Source organism: Homo sapiens, chromosome 3, assembly GCF_000001405.40.
Source record: "Homo sapiens chromosome 3, GRCh38.p14 Primary Assembly".
Classification (NCBI taxonomy): domain Eukaryota; kingdom Metazoa; phylum Chordata; class Mammalia; order Primates; family Hominidae; genus Homo; species Homo sapiens.
In genome coordinates, this window is record NC_000003.12 from 3,162,366 (window position 1) to 3,180,834 (window position 18,469).

Genomic DNA, 18,469 nt, shown 5'->3' on the forward strand with positions numbered 1-18,469 from the left:
ACAGTAAACCAGTGAATAGAGAAAGGCACTGTGATGGGAGAAGAAGTAAACAGTTTCAGAGCTCAAATTCCAGAACAAGAAATGTCTCTAGATGGAGTGGGTTTTGAAAGTGTTTCCTAATTACACTGGCCTAACTCCTTAATCATGAGAGACACGTGCTGAATCTTCTCTAATGCTTCCTTGTCAGAATGGTAGATAACACAGAACACTTCCAGAAGCTTAAATAATTTTATTTCATGTCATTTGAGTTGTTTAGGTTTCCACGGCAAATGCTGTGTGCAGTTTCAAAGTTAATTGAATATATCTCAGGAAGACTACAATCCTCGATACTTTAAGTTCCTTTTCTGCAGGAAAAGTGCGCGGCAACCTTATTAGCTTGAGTTAGCTTAGTTATGTAAGCATCTCCCAACTCTGACCATTTTAACTACTACTCAGACACAGAGACAGAAGACACATATGCAGTACTTCAGATTATGGTGGGATGGACAAATCAGATACAAGCAAGCTCTATGAAGACAGGAATGAACTGAACCTTGTATCTGTCTAAAGACAAACACTGTTACATAATCCAGCCCTCATGGTAAGCTAGCGTCCCACTAAAGGTGCAGCATGCCAAACCACTCAGATGGTCCCACTGCATACGGAGTTCCTACCAAAGATATCTGCCATCCCCTTTCCCTGTTGGATTCCTTTTTGATGCACACAGAATGGCTCTAAGTGGTCTCTCTAAAGCAGAACAGAGTTTGTAGGTCACTTGGAGTCCAAAATAGATCAGCTAGCGGTTTCTCTTGGCCTAGTGATCTAGATTCCAAATTTCAGAACCTAAGAAACTCTATCAATGTTTAAGCAAGGGAACCCTGTAGATAACCTGACGTATATGGGATGGAGTTATTTGTATCACCTAAAACCTTTTAGGCCTTCTCATTCCTTAGCATCGTCTCTTTAGCCCTTGGCAACTCTGAATATGAAAATAACCAAGGGCTAATTAAGACAAGAGGAAAAATTCAGAGGATCTGAACCCAGGCAAATATGTGCTTCTTTGGTCTTCCCAGCTCTATCTTTTCTTGTCTTATTAAGCCAGTGGCAACCCAGTTGCATGGGCCAAATTCGGAATGTAATGTAAACAAGATGCTTTAACCATAGAACAGGAAGAATTTAAGTAGTAACTCACATAAAAAATAAATTTAAAAAGCAGTCTTACTTGCTTAGCCCAAGTTCAGGTTTAAGACTGCAGGATCCTACAGGCAGGTCACAGAACTAGCTGTACAGAGCACTTGAGTCAGGAATTAACTACCACTGCTCTCACTCTATACTTAGAACTTTGCAAAGAAGCGTTAATTTAGGATTTTTAATGGTTAAGAATTTTTAAGCCATCTTGGTGCGGAAGAACTATTCTATATACCCAAATACTTAATACAGGCATACTGTGATTCACAGATACTGCCTTTAAAAACAAACAAACAAAAAAAAAATTAAAGATTTCTGGCAACCCTGTTTCAAGCAAGTCTATCAAGCCATTTTTCCAACAGCATGTGCTAACTACCTGCCTGTGCCATATTTTGGTAATTCTCACAATATTTCACACTTTTTCATTGTTATATCTGTTATGATGATTTGTGATTAGTGAACTTTGATGTTATTACTGTAACTGTTTTGGGGCACCACAAACTGCACCCATTTAAGACAGTAAACTTAACAAATGTGTTTTGATTGCTCCACTGACGAGCCCCTCCATCTCTCTCCCTCTCCTCAGGCTTCCCTATTTCTTTGAGACACAACAATATTGAAACTAGGCTAATTAATAACTTTACAATGGCTTCTAAGTGCTCAAGTGAAAAGAAGAGTAGTCAAGCATCTCTCACTTTAAATCAAAAGCTAAAAATGATAAAGCTTAGTTAGAAACACATGTCAAAGCTGAAAGAGGCCAAACGCTAGGCCTCCTGGGGCAAACAGCAAAGCTGTGAATATGAAATGCTACTCTGGTGAAAGCCAAAAAGTCTTATTACTGATATGGAGAAAGTTTTAATGGTCTGGACAGAAGATCAAACCAGCCACAAATTTCCGTTGAGCCAAAGCCTAATCCAGAGAAAGTCCCTAAGTCTCCTTTCAGGGGCTAATAGCTGGTGACTTTAAGTTAAAGCCAATGCTCACTGGCCATTCCAAAAATCCTAGGGCCCTTTAAGAATGCTAAATCTACTCTGCCTGTGCTCTGTAGTAAATGGAACAAAGTCCGGATGACAGAACATCTGTTTAGATAATGGTTTACTGAATATTTTAAGCCTGCTGTTGAGACCTACTGCTCAGAAAAGACTCTTTATAATTATTACTGCTCATTGACAATGTACATGGTCACCCAGAAGTTTTGATGGGAGACATACAAGGAGATTAATGCTGTTTTCATGCTTGGTAACAAAATTTCCATTCTGTGACCCATGGATCAAGGAGTAATTTAAACTTTCAAATCTTATTATTTAAGAAATACATTTTTCATAGGCTATAGCTGCCACAGATAGTGATTCCTCTGATGGATCTGGAAAAAGTAAATTGAAAACCTTCTGAAAAAGAGTCACCATTCTAGGTGCCATTAAGAATAATCATGATTCATGGGAGGTGGTGAAAATATCAACCTTAACAGGAATTTAGAAGAAGTTTACTCCAACCCTCATGGATGACGATTTTGAGGGTTTCAAGCCTTCAGTTAAGTAACTGCAGATGTGACAGAAACAAAAAGAGAACTAAAGTTAGAAGTGGAACCCACAGATAGGACTGAATTGCTGTGATCTCATGATCAAACATGGATTAGGAGTTGCTTCTTATGGATGAGCAAATAAAGTGGTTTCTTGAGAAGAAATCTACTGCTGAAGATGTTGTGAATGTTGAAATGACACAAAGAATTCAGAATATTACATAAACTTAGTTGATAAAGCAGCAGCAAGTTCTGACAGGACTGACTCCAATTTTGAAAGTTCTGTTGTGGCTTAAATGCTATCAAACAGCGCCGCATGCTAAAGAGGGATCTTTTGTGAAAGGAAGAGTCAATCTGTGGGGCAAACTTCGTTGCTGTCTTAAGAAATTGCTGTAGTCACCCCAACCTTCAGCAACCACTACCCTGATTAGTCAGCAGCCATCAACAGCAAAACAAGACTATCCACCAGCAAAAAAGATTATGATTCACTGAAGGCTCAGATGCTTGTATTTTTTAGCAATAAAGTATTTTTTTATTTAAGGTATGTACACTGTTTTTTAGATAGAATCTTATTGTACACATGATAGACTACAGTATTGTGTGAATAAAACTTTTATATGCAGTGGGAAACCAAAAAACTCATGAGACTAACTTTATTGTGATACTTGTTTTATTGCAGCAGTTTGAAACTGAACCTGCAATATCTCCGTGGTATGCCTGTACCCCCTGAAAAAAAATCTCTAGTATGAAATACATCACTACGTGAATATTCAGATGACACATAGGGAACAACTTGATGCAGTTACCTTGCCACGTATTTCAGTAGCAAACCAGTGCCAAACATACTTTTAGGCACTAAATGACTTAATATATTCCAAATCTACTCCTTGGGGGCCACATACTGACAGTGATCACTGACATACTTATTTCAACAGTAACATTTAAAATGACTATGGGAGCAAAATTTCTCACAGTTCAGTTAAAAGAAACAAGGGTAAACATGTATTTAAAGTGTCTGTATCTGGTATGGGGAAGAAAGTATTGCACGGTGATATGATCTGGCTGTGTCCCCACTCAAATCTCATCTTGAATTGTAACTCCCACAATTCCCACATGTCATGGGAGGAACTCAGTGGGAGGTGACTGAATTATGGGGGCAGGTCTTTCCTGTGCTGTTCTTGTGATAGTGAATGAGTCTCATGAGATCTGATGGTTTTAAAAATGGGAGTTTTCCTGTACAAGTTCTTTTTCCCTGCTGCCATCTATGTAAGACGTGACTTGCTCTTCCTTGACTTTCAACCTTCTGCCATGATTGTGAGGCCTCCCCAGCCATGTGGAACTTTAAGTCCAATAAACCTCTTTTTTTGTAAATTGCTCAGTCTTGGTTATGTCTTTATCGGCAGCGTGAAAATGGACTAATACAGCTACACAAAAGCTGCCTGTTAACTAAAGGCAGTATCAATATTACTAAACGTTAAAAAATACTAGTTTCAAGGTTGTTTGGGAGTCTTAAAGCAGTCTAATTATATCTTCCTTATTAGAATCTTCCTTAGAAACACTAGTCAAAACACACTGTACCATGAAACAGATCAGTTAACTGAGATAAAGACCAGGAAGTCTTATAGATACCTGGTTATAACCCTGATGCCCATCAAGTGCCCATTCTGCACAAGTTTTCACTGAAAACTGGAGGAATTCTACTGCAAGAACAATAAAAATTCGGTACAGTGACTAGTATATAAGTCCACTTCATTAATTATCCATAATAATTTACATTAAATTAGGATTCTGTATTTACATTAAAATATTAAATCCTCACCACTCAACAAAGGAATGATTAATAGAGAATTTTTAAGGTTACAGTGGAAACTGTCTTTCCATATTAAAAAAAAAAACTCAAAAAGCCCAATTATTCTAAATTTAGAAACTAGTAATCTTTTTCTTTAGGTAGCAATTATAAATATTAACTATACTTAAAATTGCACATCTCACAAACGAGTAGAAACAGGCTCCCTCAATTTTTTTTTCCTATGACAATTATGATTTAGTCAAAGGATATAACATAGGAATTAGTGCCCAAACAAGCAACATTTTTAAAGAGCACCTAGTCTCAAGTCAATTTCTGCGATGTCAACTGTATTTCATTAAAACACATAGCAAAAGAAACCTTTCTCTCTGGTTTGGAAGAAGGAAAACAGACTCTACTTCTCTACTACTACTCTACCCCAAAAGAATCCTCCCTTCTTTAAGATAATGGATGTTTATAACTCAAGAGCCGAACATCTAATTTGATCATAGTTTAATAAGCATTTCCCATGGAATTAAAAATCAAAAGCGATTAATATAGCTGATAAGCATAATAACAAGGATACCTTACAGCTGTGTGACATTTTATTGCTTTTGTAAACTGCTTTTACATAAAGTAGCTGCCTGTGCAATTTTTAGAGGATCAAATGTAGCTGGAATATTGCCATACAAGGTGGCTGGGTAATGAATCATGAAAGTTGTGTTTCTTTCTTAAAACAGGAAAAAAAACAACCTGTCTTCATTTTTTGAAGATGCATAAAAAATTAGTTTCTCACCTTCTGGTATTTCTGCCACCATTTATATGAACATTGGTCTTCTCTTGAGACAGGTTTTGAAGGAAATATCTGGCACTTATTGAGGGATTCTAATTGAACTGCAGACATGGTTGAAGGCAACACACATTCGGGAAGAATTTGCACTTTAGCTTGCTGGATTCTAAAATAAAGAGAACCAAGCATGGTATTCATTTCTAAGATTGACTAACTCAAAACTATAAGTTTCTAAACAGTGATAATTTTAAATACCAAGATTTTCCAAGTTTTATCTTTTAAACATATTCATCAAATACTGATGTTAAGATACAGAAACTTTCAGAAAATAATTTTATTTCATAAATCATACCAAAGTTAAAACCAAAGATAACCTAAGGTACGGATCTTCAATGTCACTGTGGAATGGAAAGGGAGATCTACACATTTCAGATAAATACAGAGTCTATAAATGAAACAAAGTTTTAAAAAAACCAACATACAACCAACTACTGCTTGATACTTCTACTTTCTTAAACATTCTTAAGACACCCAAATTCTTCTATCCCCCCACTTCTTATGCTGCTTAACTCTTACATCTATCCTTTCTCATAAGTCATCTAATCTAAGTAGAGAAAGGAAGAGAAAAATCAAGAATGCATTTACATGGATGAATTAAAATAACACTAGAGAGTTACATGCAACCTTTCTGTGTGCATTCCTTTTCACGTTCTTAAGAGTTTAACTGTACAAAGGATCAAACTATAAATTAGATTTTTTCTTAAAAGTTATTTAAAATGTCATAATAAAGTCATTTCCAAAATGCTACTTGAGAATATCATAATTGCAAACATCTTATCATGAACTAGTGCAAACAGGAAGGTTGTATCTATGAGCTATCTTCCTGTGAGGCATTCTATCTCTTAGAGTGTAGCTTCTGAAATGTAGAATATGTAACTATATTCAAATGCTAGTATATAACACTGTCAGACTGACAAAGTCAAATATATTAAAAGTCTCTGCTTTATTAGTTATACTTAAGACTTCTAAAGTAGTCTTTCATAATAACCACTGTTTGACCACAAGATATTATGGATGAAATTCTGACATTTTACTTATTTATTAGAAGGAAAAATAACTGAGTGTGTTAGAAAGTATCTAAGTTTAATTTAATGATAATAGTAGACTCACTCTACTAACTTTATTTCCTTCCTGCAAACTCATTAGAAATACTCAGAAAATTTGTCTACATGACTTCGGAAAATGTTAAAAAATTTTACTATAGTCAAATTATGGTCAAGTGTTCTTATATTATTATTAGAGCTCATTAGAAACAAAATCTCAATTTTCTTCACCTGATTCATGAACACAAATAACTTGTTAATTACATTATGAAGGTAAAAGTATATACCATCCTATAGAAATTTTTAGAAATCTGATTCTTCAAGGTTATAGGTAACTGAATTAAGAACTATGCTTTACCCAACTATTGTATAAGATTTGATTATGATAAAAACAGTAACATTATTGATCCCCTGGCTTACAGATCATGTTAATTAGTCTGCAGTACAAACTGTCTGAATTGCCTTGAAGGATTAAGGAATGCTCTCCTTTACCTGGTTAAACATGGCCAGGGTCCACTGCATATGCAGTGGCTGGTTCTTCTCCCAGCAGCTGAGTTTTGTTTTTAACATAAGCTAGTTTTTTTTCTTTCCAACTTGTTTATCACAGTTGTTTTGTGATTACAGCAACATAATTTATATAAATGTTATAAAAACCAGTGAAATATGACTTCAACAATAAAACTGCTTCAAGGAACATTAAGTTGAGACATAAACTGCTTTCAAATTAGGTACAGACTACTCTAATAGGAAAAAAACCGCACAAATCTGGAAAAATTCTGCACTCAAATTGCCTTGTGACTATCTTTAGAATCCCTCTTTAAAGAAAAACTAGCAGTATAAACTGTGGATAATGTACAATGAAAGTGCCAGAAAGTCTACAGTCATCTCCAATCTGCAGAACTGCTTCAATGGAAAGACCTTGGTCTCTCCAGATGAAAAATGAATGAATTTATAAAGTTAAAATAAAATGTTTAAGCTATATATGTGTAACATTTTGTGATTTCCAGCTTCAGCTAACTTTTTGACTAACAATTATTGGTCTCAGTCTAGACAGGTAAGAGATCTTCTCTTGTGATGCCAATAGGATATCAATCCCCTCCTCCTCTCTACATGCTAAGAAGTAGGAACTTCTGAAGAGTCCTATGTCAGTGAGACCTGTTTTTATTAAAAAAAAATTTCTATGTGTTCAGAAGATGCCCACCCCCCCTCCGCCCTCCCCAACCCACACACACTCATGACTTTGGGGGTTGTATACTTTTTTTCTTTTTTGAGATGGAGTCTCACTGTTGGCGAAGCTGGAGTGCAGCGGTATAATCTCTGCTCAGTGCAACCTCTGCCTCCCAGGTTCAAGTGGTTCTCATGCCTCAGCCTCCCGAACAGCTGGAATTACAGGCACAGGCCACCATGCCCAGCTAATTTCTTGTATTTTTAGTAGTGATGCAGCTTCACCATGTTGGCCAAGCTGGTCTTGAACTGCTGGCCTTAAATGATTCACATACCTTGGCCTTCCAGAGGGCTGAAATTACAGGTATGAGTCACCACACCTGGCCTCTGTAGTGTACTTTTAATAAATGAAGTGTCATTTAGGTAAAAGATGGATATTTATATTTTTTAATTTTTATTTTTCTATATGCTTATTTCTCTAAGAAAAACAAATGAATATTAAATATTTTACTGGAGAAAGGGAAGCTGGCTTGAGTTTCAAATGTGTTATAGAGAAATTCTGGTATAATGGAAGGAGTACCAGTTTGGAAGTCATGGGACCTAGAACCAATCAGGTCTGTCGCTTATTTGCTGTTTAAGCAAATTACTTAACCTCTCTAGTACCTGGCATTCTGATACAGAAAAAGACGAGACTGAACTAAATCAACTCCAGAATTTCTTTCATTTCACCATTTCCAGTGAAGGTGGTTACAGGGCCAGAGAAGTAGTGGAGCCAAGAGAAATCTCATTCCACAGAGGCCTTTTAAATGAAGACAGACATACCCTTATGAGAGGCCTTAATAATGGGTCTACAGAATACTAGAGAGAATGTGCCCTTTCCAAGTCTTGTCCACCTGTATCAGTTTGATGTTAATCTTTTTTTTCCTTTGAGATGGAGTTTTCCTCTTGTTGCCCAGGCTGGAGTGCAGTGGTGCCATCTTGGCTCACCACAACCTCTGCCTCCCGGGTTCAAGCGATTCTCCTGCCTCAGCCTCCCTAGTAGCTGGGATTACAGTCATGCGCCACCATGCCCGGCTAACTTTGTATTTTTAGTAGAGATGGGGTTTCTCCATGTTGGTCAGGCTGATCTCAAACTCGTGAGCTCAGGTGATCGTCCTGCCTTGGCCTCCCAAAATACTGGGATTACAGGCATGAGCCACTGTGCGCGGCCTGATGTTAATCTTTACTAGAGTCAAAAATCCATTCCTTGTCTTGTTTTCAGAGTTAACGGTATACTGCCATCTTGTGTTCAATAGTTTTTCCACAATCAAAAGTCACTAATGTCAAGACAGTCTGAGAAATATACTTTTCCCCAAGTCAATTTTCCTTAATGATTTCTATAAAAGTATTCACAAATAATCAAAATTGTATGAAGATAAGAAGTACTTTAAAAATGGAACTGTTAGCAAAATCCACAGTAACAAAACAGTTTGCTAATTATCATAATGCAGACCACCCCCACCCGCCCCAGGAGATCATTCTTTCATTCATTTATATAAAATTTATGGTCCTAAATGTAAAACATAAATAAGTCTTGGTCATTGTTCTCAAGCAGCTTATCTATTGAGGGAGACGTACATAAAATCCTGTCAGGACAGTGCAATGTGGTAAGGCTATCAAAGTTTGCACAGTGAATGTTCTGGAAAAGTACCTGGGGAGAACTAAACACCCTAAGAGCTCTGGCAATCCCATCTCACATGCCTCTATGCTCTCTTTAGCTCCAAGGAGCTACCTGACATGTCAATATTTTCATAATTCAAAAATATATAGGAACGCCCACCATGTGAACAAAACAGACAAAACGTTCCTGCCCTCATGCTGCTCACATTGTTTTTTCAGTCTTAATCCCCCACCCCGCCCAAAAAAACCCCAAAATACTCAGAACTTGCATGTGTTCAGAAGATACCACCTGGGCAACACAGAGGTCTGATGAGATTTTCAACTGTGGGTATAAATTGGAAACCAATTCACTAGTACTTGTATTGCGTACCAGGACTGTGTATCTGTGAGACCTCACGGGTGATGCCACAGTTTAGAAGCACTCCGTTAAGAGGTAATATCCAGTGATCAAGGCAAATGCTTTGTTTCCTTTTTAAAAGAGGATAAAATAAACTGGACTTTTTTGTGTCTGTTTTAATGTGTATCCCTTGAATTTGTGCAAAACCCAGCCATGACAGCTTTGTCAAAATGAATTACTGCTGAAACAGTATACTCAGGGAATTTCTAAATGTCACAAGGCACATAGACTACAAGTATTTATTGATCATTTATTATGTAAATAGCATTTCTGGGTGATATAAAATTCACACTGGAGAGGGACACGAAATATAAATGGCTTTTATAGCTCAGCTGGAGCAGTAGGCAGATGTAACCAGTGTGGCTTTCAAACATCATAGCAATGCTACAAAAACCACAGCTGTCCTGGTGAGCACACGAACAGCTCACAAGCCTCTGGTCTCCCTATCCTCTTATGCTCCGAGAGGCCTTCAATCCTAAAGAAGCCAAATCCCAAACAACACTTCCCTTTGGATTTACATGATTGTTCTCAAACCTGGAGAGACATTAGAATCACCTGAAAATCATTTTTAAAAGATGCTGCAGCCTCATCACTCTCTGGAGATGGGAGATGAGGTTGGAACTCAAGCTTCTATAGTTTTAAAAGCTTCCCAGGTGATTCTGATGCATAGCAAGGTTGGAAACCACTGGGCTATACCTTAGAAGGGAAAGAGAACAACTAGTTAAAAGTTACAAAATATGAAGGCTCAGTAGAACAGAAAAAGTACAAGAAAACTATTTCATTAGGAAACATTCAAAGAGCATTAAGGTATATGTTATTTCTTACCCATCTGACTGTGTTCTTAGCTCAAGGACTTTGAACCTTTGTCTTCCAATTGCTTTCACTTTCACTATCTCAATTCCAAAATCCTGTTCTTCTCGATAGGCATATATCTCTGCTGTTGTTCCAAACTGTGCTTCCCTTTCCTGTACATTGCTTCCAAGAAAATTTTAAAAGGAAAGAATTTTGAACATTTGAGTTTTAAATATATGCAAAGTAGGCAAAGCAATAAATACAGGTAAACAATTTATAGAATCAACCCTTACTACAAAGCTAGGATAATTTTATTTATTTATTTATTTGTTTGAGATGGAGTCTCGCTGCGTTGCCCAGACTAGAGAGCAGTGGCATGAGCTCGGCTTGCTGCAGCCTCTGCCTCCCAGGTTCAAGTGATTCTCCTGCCCCAGCTGCCTGAGTAGCTGGGATTACAGGCACATACCACCACGCCTGGCTAATTTTTGTATTTTTAGTAGAGACGGGGTTTCACCATGTTGGTCAGGCTGGTCTCAAACTCCCGACCTCAGGTGATCCACCCGCCTCGGCCTCCCAAAGTGCTGGGAGTATAGGCGTGAGCTACCATGCCCGGCCAATTTTATTTATTTTTAAATCACATGGGGGATATACAAGAAGGACTCAGGAAGTACAATTAGAGAACTTTAGGAAAATAATAGATTTCTAGTCACTGAAAATAATTTAGAACTTACAGGGGTTTAAACTCATTTCCCAAACCAAACATTCTTTCACTCTGTCAAATGACTTATCATTTCTGCTGCTTACTGGCAGCACTGTACTGGGGTGGGAGCTTCCTGTATGTATTTCCTGCCTCTACCGCAGATTTCCTTTATTTGCCATGGGATACTTAAAATTCAGCTTCAATTTAAAGTGGTACAACCTATGAATTTTGAGAGAGAGGGAAAGAAAAGACCACTCTTTTGGAAAAGTAATCCTTTACGTTAAAATAAAAAAGCACTACTTCTCTATAATGAAGACAGTTATTGAAACTAAGATTCCAGAAATGTTTTTCATCAAATATAAATGATTAAAAATTTTTCAAATACCAGAAAGTTAAATTGTGTATGAAGGTGAAGAGCTGAGTTAGATGGTAATGAAATGAACAAAAATACTCCAACTTGCACTATCAAACTTCTACTTAACCAAATTCCTAACCTCACATTCTTACCCAACCTCTCCTGTACATGCGAAATAACAGCCTGCTTTGGCTTCAACACTGACCACTGCAATTACCCATGAGAGGGAATGTATTAAGCAAATGGACTCTAATATTTTACCTGTATGCAAGAACAGCAAAGGTTCTATCTTTCTGAATTAAATTCCGCACCATACTGACTTCTTGAGGGTGAAAAAGCTGAAGAGGTAATGTCTGTCCGGGAATCAGGATCATCATCACTTGTGGAAGAACTGGAATCACCTGACAGCTGTCGTCATCGTGCAAAGTCCTGCCATGAAATTCTTCCATATCAGCACCTAGGTACTATATAAAAACATATATAGGTATAGTGTCATGATCGATATGTAATAAAAATGTAAGCTCAACAGACTAAAGAGCAAATCACATTAAAAGAAATACAGGCCGGGCACAGTGGCTCACACCTGTAATTCCAGCACTTTGGGAGGCCGAGGTAGGCGGATCACCTGAGGTCAGGAGTTCAAGACCAACCTGGCCAACATGGTGGAACCCTGTTGCTACTAAAAATACAAAAATTAGCCAGGTGTGGTGGTGGACACCTGTAATCCCAGCTAATCGGGAGGCTGAGGCAGGGGAATCACTTGAACCTGGAAGGTGGAGGCTGCAGTGAGCTGAGATTGTGCCACTGCACTCACTCGAGCTTGGGCGACAGAGCAACACTCTGTCTCAAAAAAAAAGAAAAAAATACAAATGGGGTTACAAACACTTAATAAACGTGGTATATAAGCATCCCATGTTAAAATATAATTTTTAATCTAACTTTAACTCTTAGAAGAATTTCTAATCTTTTATGAATATATCACAAACACAGAAATTCAAGAATTTTTTTAGTACAAAGTATTATTTTTACCAAGAAATATCTCTATGCCCACATATCACAAACAGTAAGTATAAAATGTTAGTATGTTCAATAACACTCTAGTACCTAGAAGTACAGAGAAGTATTTAATAGCTCAATTACCAGAAAGAGTATAAAGAGCAACAATTCCTCAAACAATTCTACCACAACATAGTATTAAGCTTCTTAAAAATTACAGTTAAATGTTTATCTACTGGCAAATAGCCCATGTCCTCATCCACAATTTCTGATATCTAGTAATACAAATATCAGTCACTTGTTTTTATGAACTTTTATCTACATTTAAATGTATATCTATTATATTAGATCTGTCACTAAATTACATACTGTATGTGATGTCGGCAGACTGGTGTCAAAATTTATGATGTTTGGTTTTTTGGCTTCTTTACTATCCTGGTCTTCAACTTCCATTTCATCTTCTTCCTCACTCTCTGCTATAAAAGTAGAATATTGTAAGAAAAAAAAAAAGATGAATGAAAACCTTTCAAACATGTAATTCCTTCTTCAAAAGAGGGGTACTTCTAAAACCACATGCATTTGGTAAACTCTACAGCACCGTGAAGAGGGAGCCAGAGGACTGGGGTCCGTGCTGGGCTCTGTCAGTAGCTATTTTTTTTTTTTAAGTCAACTGTGAATTTTAGAATAGTTTAACATTTACAGAGAAGTGTAAAGATAGTACAGAATGCTCCCGTGTGTCACACATCCTTTTCCCCTATAGTTAATTTATATTAGTATGGTACATTTGCCACAACGAAGGAATCAGTCTTGGTACATTACTCTAACTAAGCTTCATATTTTAAATGGATTCCCTTAGTTTTTATCTAGTCTTTTTGCGTTCCAGGATCCCACTTTACATTTAGTTATCAGGTCCCCCTACCCTCCTCTGGGCTAGGGGGGTTTTCAGACTTTGCTTGTTTCTGAGTTTTGAGGAGTACTGGTCAGGCCTTTTGTAGAGTATCCCTCAACTGGGTTTTGTTTGATGTAATTCCCATGATTAGACTGAGGATACGTGTTTTAGGGAGGAAGACCACAGAAGTGAAGTGTTGTTATTCTTTTCCTTTTTAGAAATGGGGTCTGTTGCCAATGTGCTGTTTTTATTACATATCCAGCCTATATATTATGAACTATTCCTGCTGTTAACCTTGATCACCTGGCTACAGCAGTGTGTGTCAGGTTTTTCCGCTGTAAAGTTCCTTTCCCCCCTCCTTTTCACATTGTACCCTTCGGAAGCAAATCACTAGGTGTAGCCTCCACTTCAGGGGTGATGAGTTATGCTCCACTCCCTTGAAGAGGAAATGTAAGTTATTTAAAATTCTTCTATATGGGAGATTTTTCTCTTCTCCCTCACCAGTAACTAATTTTAACACCTTAGACAACTCATTCTGCCCAATTAAATTTTAGTTTCCTCATCTGCAAAATGATAGGCTTCAACAAGTCAACCTCTAACGTTCTCTCAAACTCTCAACTTCAATCAGTTCCTACATAAGTAAGAAAAGAAACAAAGCAGGCAAGATCTGTTAATTAAAACTGAGAGAAAGATAACCTAGCAGGAAGAATTTCACAGCATTTTTCTAGTGACAACATTTCCCTGGCAGTCGCTACATTATCTTAAAATGAAGGCCAGGTGTGGTGGCTCACACCTGTAATCCCAGCACTTTGGGAGGACGAGGCAGGCAGATCACTTGAGGTCAGGAGTTCAAGACCAGCCTGGCCAACATGTTGCAACCCCATCTCTACTAAAAACACAAAAGTTAGCCGGGTGTGGTTGTAGGTGCCTGTAATCCCAGCTACTGGGGAGGCTGAGGCAGGAGAATCGCTTGAACCCAGGAGGTGGAGGTTGCAGTGAGCTGAGATTGTGCTATTGCACTCCAGCCTGGGCGACAGAGCAAGACTCCATCTCAAAAGAAAGAAACAAAGAAAATTTTGCAATCATTTGCATACTATTTTGCTTAATTTTAAATTTAAAAATAAAGTTTGCATGAAGCATAAAACATTTTAAAAGAATGTCTTAGAAAACCAGATGTTACCAATGACAGCAAAGAAAATTAGAAAACGCTACACAATACATATGCTATTGTACTAACTGTGAGTCTGTCCTTTTCATACAAACTATGAGTAAATTTCCTATCCTAGACCAGTGACTCTCAACCACAGGTGATTTTGCCCCTCAGGGGATATTGGTTGCAATAACTAAGGGAGTCCTACTGGCATCTAGTGGGTAGAGGCCAGGGATGCAGCTAAATATCCTACAATGCACGAGACAATCCCACCCAAAGAATTCTCCAGCCCAAAAGTCCAGTGCTGAGGTTGGGAGACCCTGGCCTAGACTAACAATAAAGAATTACTGAATCTCATTTCTCACCTCCCAGTTCATGTATTTTTAAATGCCCCAAATAAACTTCTAAATCGATAAAATGTCATTACGAAATAATCATTTGTTTTCCTTTGCATATCATTATTTAAGTCAAACCACCTCTAGCCAGGCCCCTGACAGAAAATAAAAATGATTTTCAATATGGTAACTGCCTTGGACTTTCTATTTATTATTACAACTTCCTAGATATAAAACTTTGTCAAAAACAGAATTACTTCAACTTATATGTAAATAGCCAATGGTCTAACACTTCATACAAATTTTCCTTGGAACATGTAAGTTTCACTGAGATAAAAAAAGAGCTATCTAAATGGATGACAAAAATATTCTGCATCAAATTGTTTGTATTTCCAACTCTGACAGTATGGCTATCACTTGGCATGCAGCACAACCCACTTTATTGCTCTACTACAGAAAGTTTAAAAGATAAACTATTAGCTCAAAGGCTGGAATTAATATTGTTAAAAATTTACATTTTAACTGTTCTGACTCCTAGTCTCTAAATAATTTCTTTAGTAACCTTTTTTTCATAAATATGGCTAAAAACCACTTTCCCCTACTCAGTTATGTTTATTAATGTTTCATTTGCCTAGGATAAACTCTTCACATCTCAAATATAAAGCTTTTTGTTGGAACTTAGAGGATTTACTCTTCAGAACAACTCGTACTACATGGAATTATGGAAAGCCCAGTGTTTCCCTACAAATAAAATTTACGTAATTTGGAGAGGCATTATTGCTATATCTACACCATCTCTGGGCCCTCTCCCGACGCTTTTCTGAAAAACAAAAAACAAAACAAAACAAACAAAAAAAAAACAAACAAAAAACCACGCTGACTGTTCAGAGCTATCAGTGAAGTCTGATGACTCATCTCATGCAGAGGCACGATGTGAATGTCGACAGAAGATCAGTATCCTCCCTCTTCTATTCACCATTCTCCCTGAAACACCGGATTTGGCACAGAGAGTAGGGCTAATGTCTCTGAAAAAATAGCTCAGCTTTCCATCAAAGGCTGGCACACTTACCCTTGTGTCAACTCAGCTAGAATGGCTTCGAGAACAACCAGTGACTATGGTTTATTTTTACAGAAAAGTTCTCTCCTATATGGTGGGCACGCACTCAGTCTCTTCCTCTTTTAATCCATGCTGCTACCAGTGGACAAATTAATCTTCCAAGCATAGATTTCTTTAGGCAATTACCTGAAACCTAAAACTGTTTCTTGGCAATCCACAGGAAAAACCCAAACCCACTGGCAAGAGATGCCAGTTTCCCAGCAACTTAGACCCAATATACCTCCTAGGCCTTATGTCCCACAACCATATCCTAAATATGTGCTTTTAGATGTCTCCTGATCTACCTGAAAGGCTTTTTCCCAAATCCTCTGACCCTTAAACAACCTCTGCCTCTGAAGAGCCACAACAGCATTCATTTATCTGGCCCTAAATCAACCGCCTCTGCAGTTGATTTACGTTTAGTTATATTCTCAGCAGCCCCGCCTAGACAGTAAACCTCAATTATCAGATTGTGTATTACCTCTCGTTTCATCTCCACAACACCTAACATACTTGTCATATAACGAAGGGACTCAAGTAATACTTTCAAGTTTGGATGATACACCTTTTGGAAAGCATCTCTTGAAAGGCATTCCATGAAAAGTTTATGCAATATTCCATGCATTTTTTTTTTTGTTCAGTATTTCAACACAAGGCCAAAGTCTAAACATTTCACACAACATACAGGAAAAAGAAAAACTAAGTATCTCTGATTAAGCATAATCGTACATGCCTGAGAAAGACCGATAGTAAGAAAAACAAAACAGAGAAGTGGTTTAGAGATATAATGACAGACACACCCGGGTTGGAATCCTGACTCTGCTGTGTGACCTTGGGCAAGTCATTGAACTAATCTGCAAATCCAATACTCGCTTATCAAATCGGAAACTGAAAACTGATGTGGGAAGGATTAAAAGGCGACATGCATGCAAAGCGTTAACTGCACGGCTCGTAACATGGTAAGTGCTTAGTACATGTTAGCTGTCACTCTTATTAAAAGGAAGGAGACCAGCAAAAGTAACCGCTGTGAATCTGACCCGGTCCTCTAGTTTCAGAGCATTTCCTAGGAGCTAAACTCAGAACACAAGGAGGATGGAGAGGATGGGTTTCCTGTTCTTAATAGCAAATGCTCCCCCCGACACCCTGGCTCACGGCTCGGGGCAACAGAGCAGCGAAGAAAGCGCCGCGACTCCATCGCTGGCCGAGGGCCGACGTGAAGCAGCTTTCCGGTGCGGCCCTGCTGGGCTGGCTCGCCAGGCTTGGCGCCCCCACGCCCGCCTCCCAGGCCCAGCTGCACCGCTAGCGGCTCCGAGCCTCGCCCCACTCCCGACTACAGGGAACTACTCCGGGCGGTTACCAGGCAGGAGCGGCAGGTGGTTGCCCATGTTGTGCGCAGCGTCCTGCTGATCTCCTTCGCCGGCCATGTCTGTTTACCCGCAAAGGAGGCTGGGACAGGGCGGTGCCGAAGACTCCGAGGGAGGGCCCGTGTCGCGCGGCTGCCGCGCACCGGGGCCACAGCGCCCCCTGGCGGCCCCAGGGGAGCAGACGGCGGCGCGTACCCAAGCCTGAAAGTGATGGCCTAGGCGGGAGGGACAATTACAGGCCTGCGCTCCGTCCCGGGGACAGAACGCCGTCCCCTGCCATCCACGGCTGAGTGCCCGGCGTACACGCTGCAGAGCCCTCACTTTGTTCCAGCCCTTAGCATGACTTATTTAATCCTGATATTTTGCATATGGAGAAACTGAGGCTGAGAGCCTTTAGTCTCCACCTTGTTTTTAAACGAAGGGGGCAGGGAGCAAATAGAAACCTGTTCATGCAGCATTAGTTTCAATTCTTAAAATAAGAAGCATATATGTGAAGGCTGGGGAAATCCATCAGTTATTCCGAGGGTGGTTGAATTATTGCTGATTTTCTTCAGTAGTTTCAATGTATGTACATACAACTTCAATAACTTCAGTAGTTTCCATATATGTACATTACATTCCAAAATTAACAAGTATTAATCAGAAACATACTTGAAATGATGATTGCACAGAATGGAAAACGCCTTATAATTGGTAAATAAAATTGTCTGAATATAAACTAGCCTACTCATTATGACTTCAGCTATGTAAAAACAAGTCACTGTGGCAAAAAAGAAAGACTATGTAAAAAATGAAGATAATTCTGTTATAATGGTGGAGTTGTGACTGGTAAGATATTTGTTTTGGAGGGAGGACAAAAGTTTTCGTAGTGTATTTCAGTATCACTTTTTCAGCGAGGAAGGAAAACTGAAAAATCCTTAAATGAAATACAACATCTAAACATGGTAGTGGTGGTGGTGGGCGGAGGCTGAGAGGAAGCAGCAGCATTGCTCAACAGAAAAGTCATGGATCTGAGATTTGAAAAAATGATTTCAGAAAATTTGCCTCCCTGATAAGTTACAAGCAGAAAACTCCCTTGTGACAGAGGCTTGTGAATCATTCCTGTGTCATTTTGCCTCCTGTCTCCGAATCAGTCTGTGGTCTTCGTCAAATCACTTATGGCTGCGGGCCTCAATTCGCCCATTTGCAAAATAAGAACGAACCAAAT

The 18,469-nt window shown here is 38.6% G+C and overlaps 1 protein-coding gene across 6 annotated transcripts in view, besides 1 other annotated feature; it reads right to left on the reverse strand.

The window, feature by feature from the left end:
- CRBN (cereblon) overlaps positions 1-17,352 on the reverse strand; it is a 30,085-nt gene extending 12,733 nt beyond the window's left edge. For 3 of the 6 annotated variants that reach the window (XM_011533791.4, NM_016302.4, XM_047448253.1), the window contains exons 1-5: positions 17,256-17,326; positions 12,798-12,904; positions 11,694-11,896; positions 10,411-10,560; positions 5,269-5,428 (exon numbers count right to left, since the gene is read on the reverse strand). In XM_011533791.4, the coding sequence (XP_011532093.1) occupies positions 5,269-5,428; positions 10,411-10,560; positions 11,694-11,896; positions 12,798-12,904; positions 17,256-17,322 (687 nt within the window). In that variant the 5' untranslated portion in view covers positions 17,323-17,326. 6 annotated transcript variants of the gene reach the window in all.
- Positions 17,390-17,559: a silencer, noted in NCBI's record as "silent region_14010". NCBI's record gives its function as "represses an Ori minimal core promoter by ATAC-STARR-seq in GM12878 lymphoblastoid cells {active_cell/tissue: GM12878}" and the evidence as "EXISTENCE:reporter gene assay evidence [ECO:0000049][PMID:35858748]".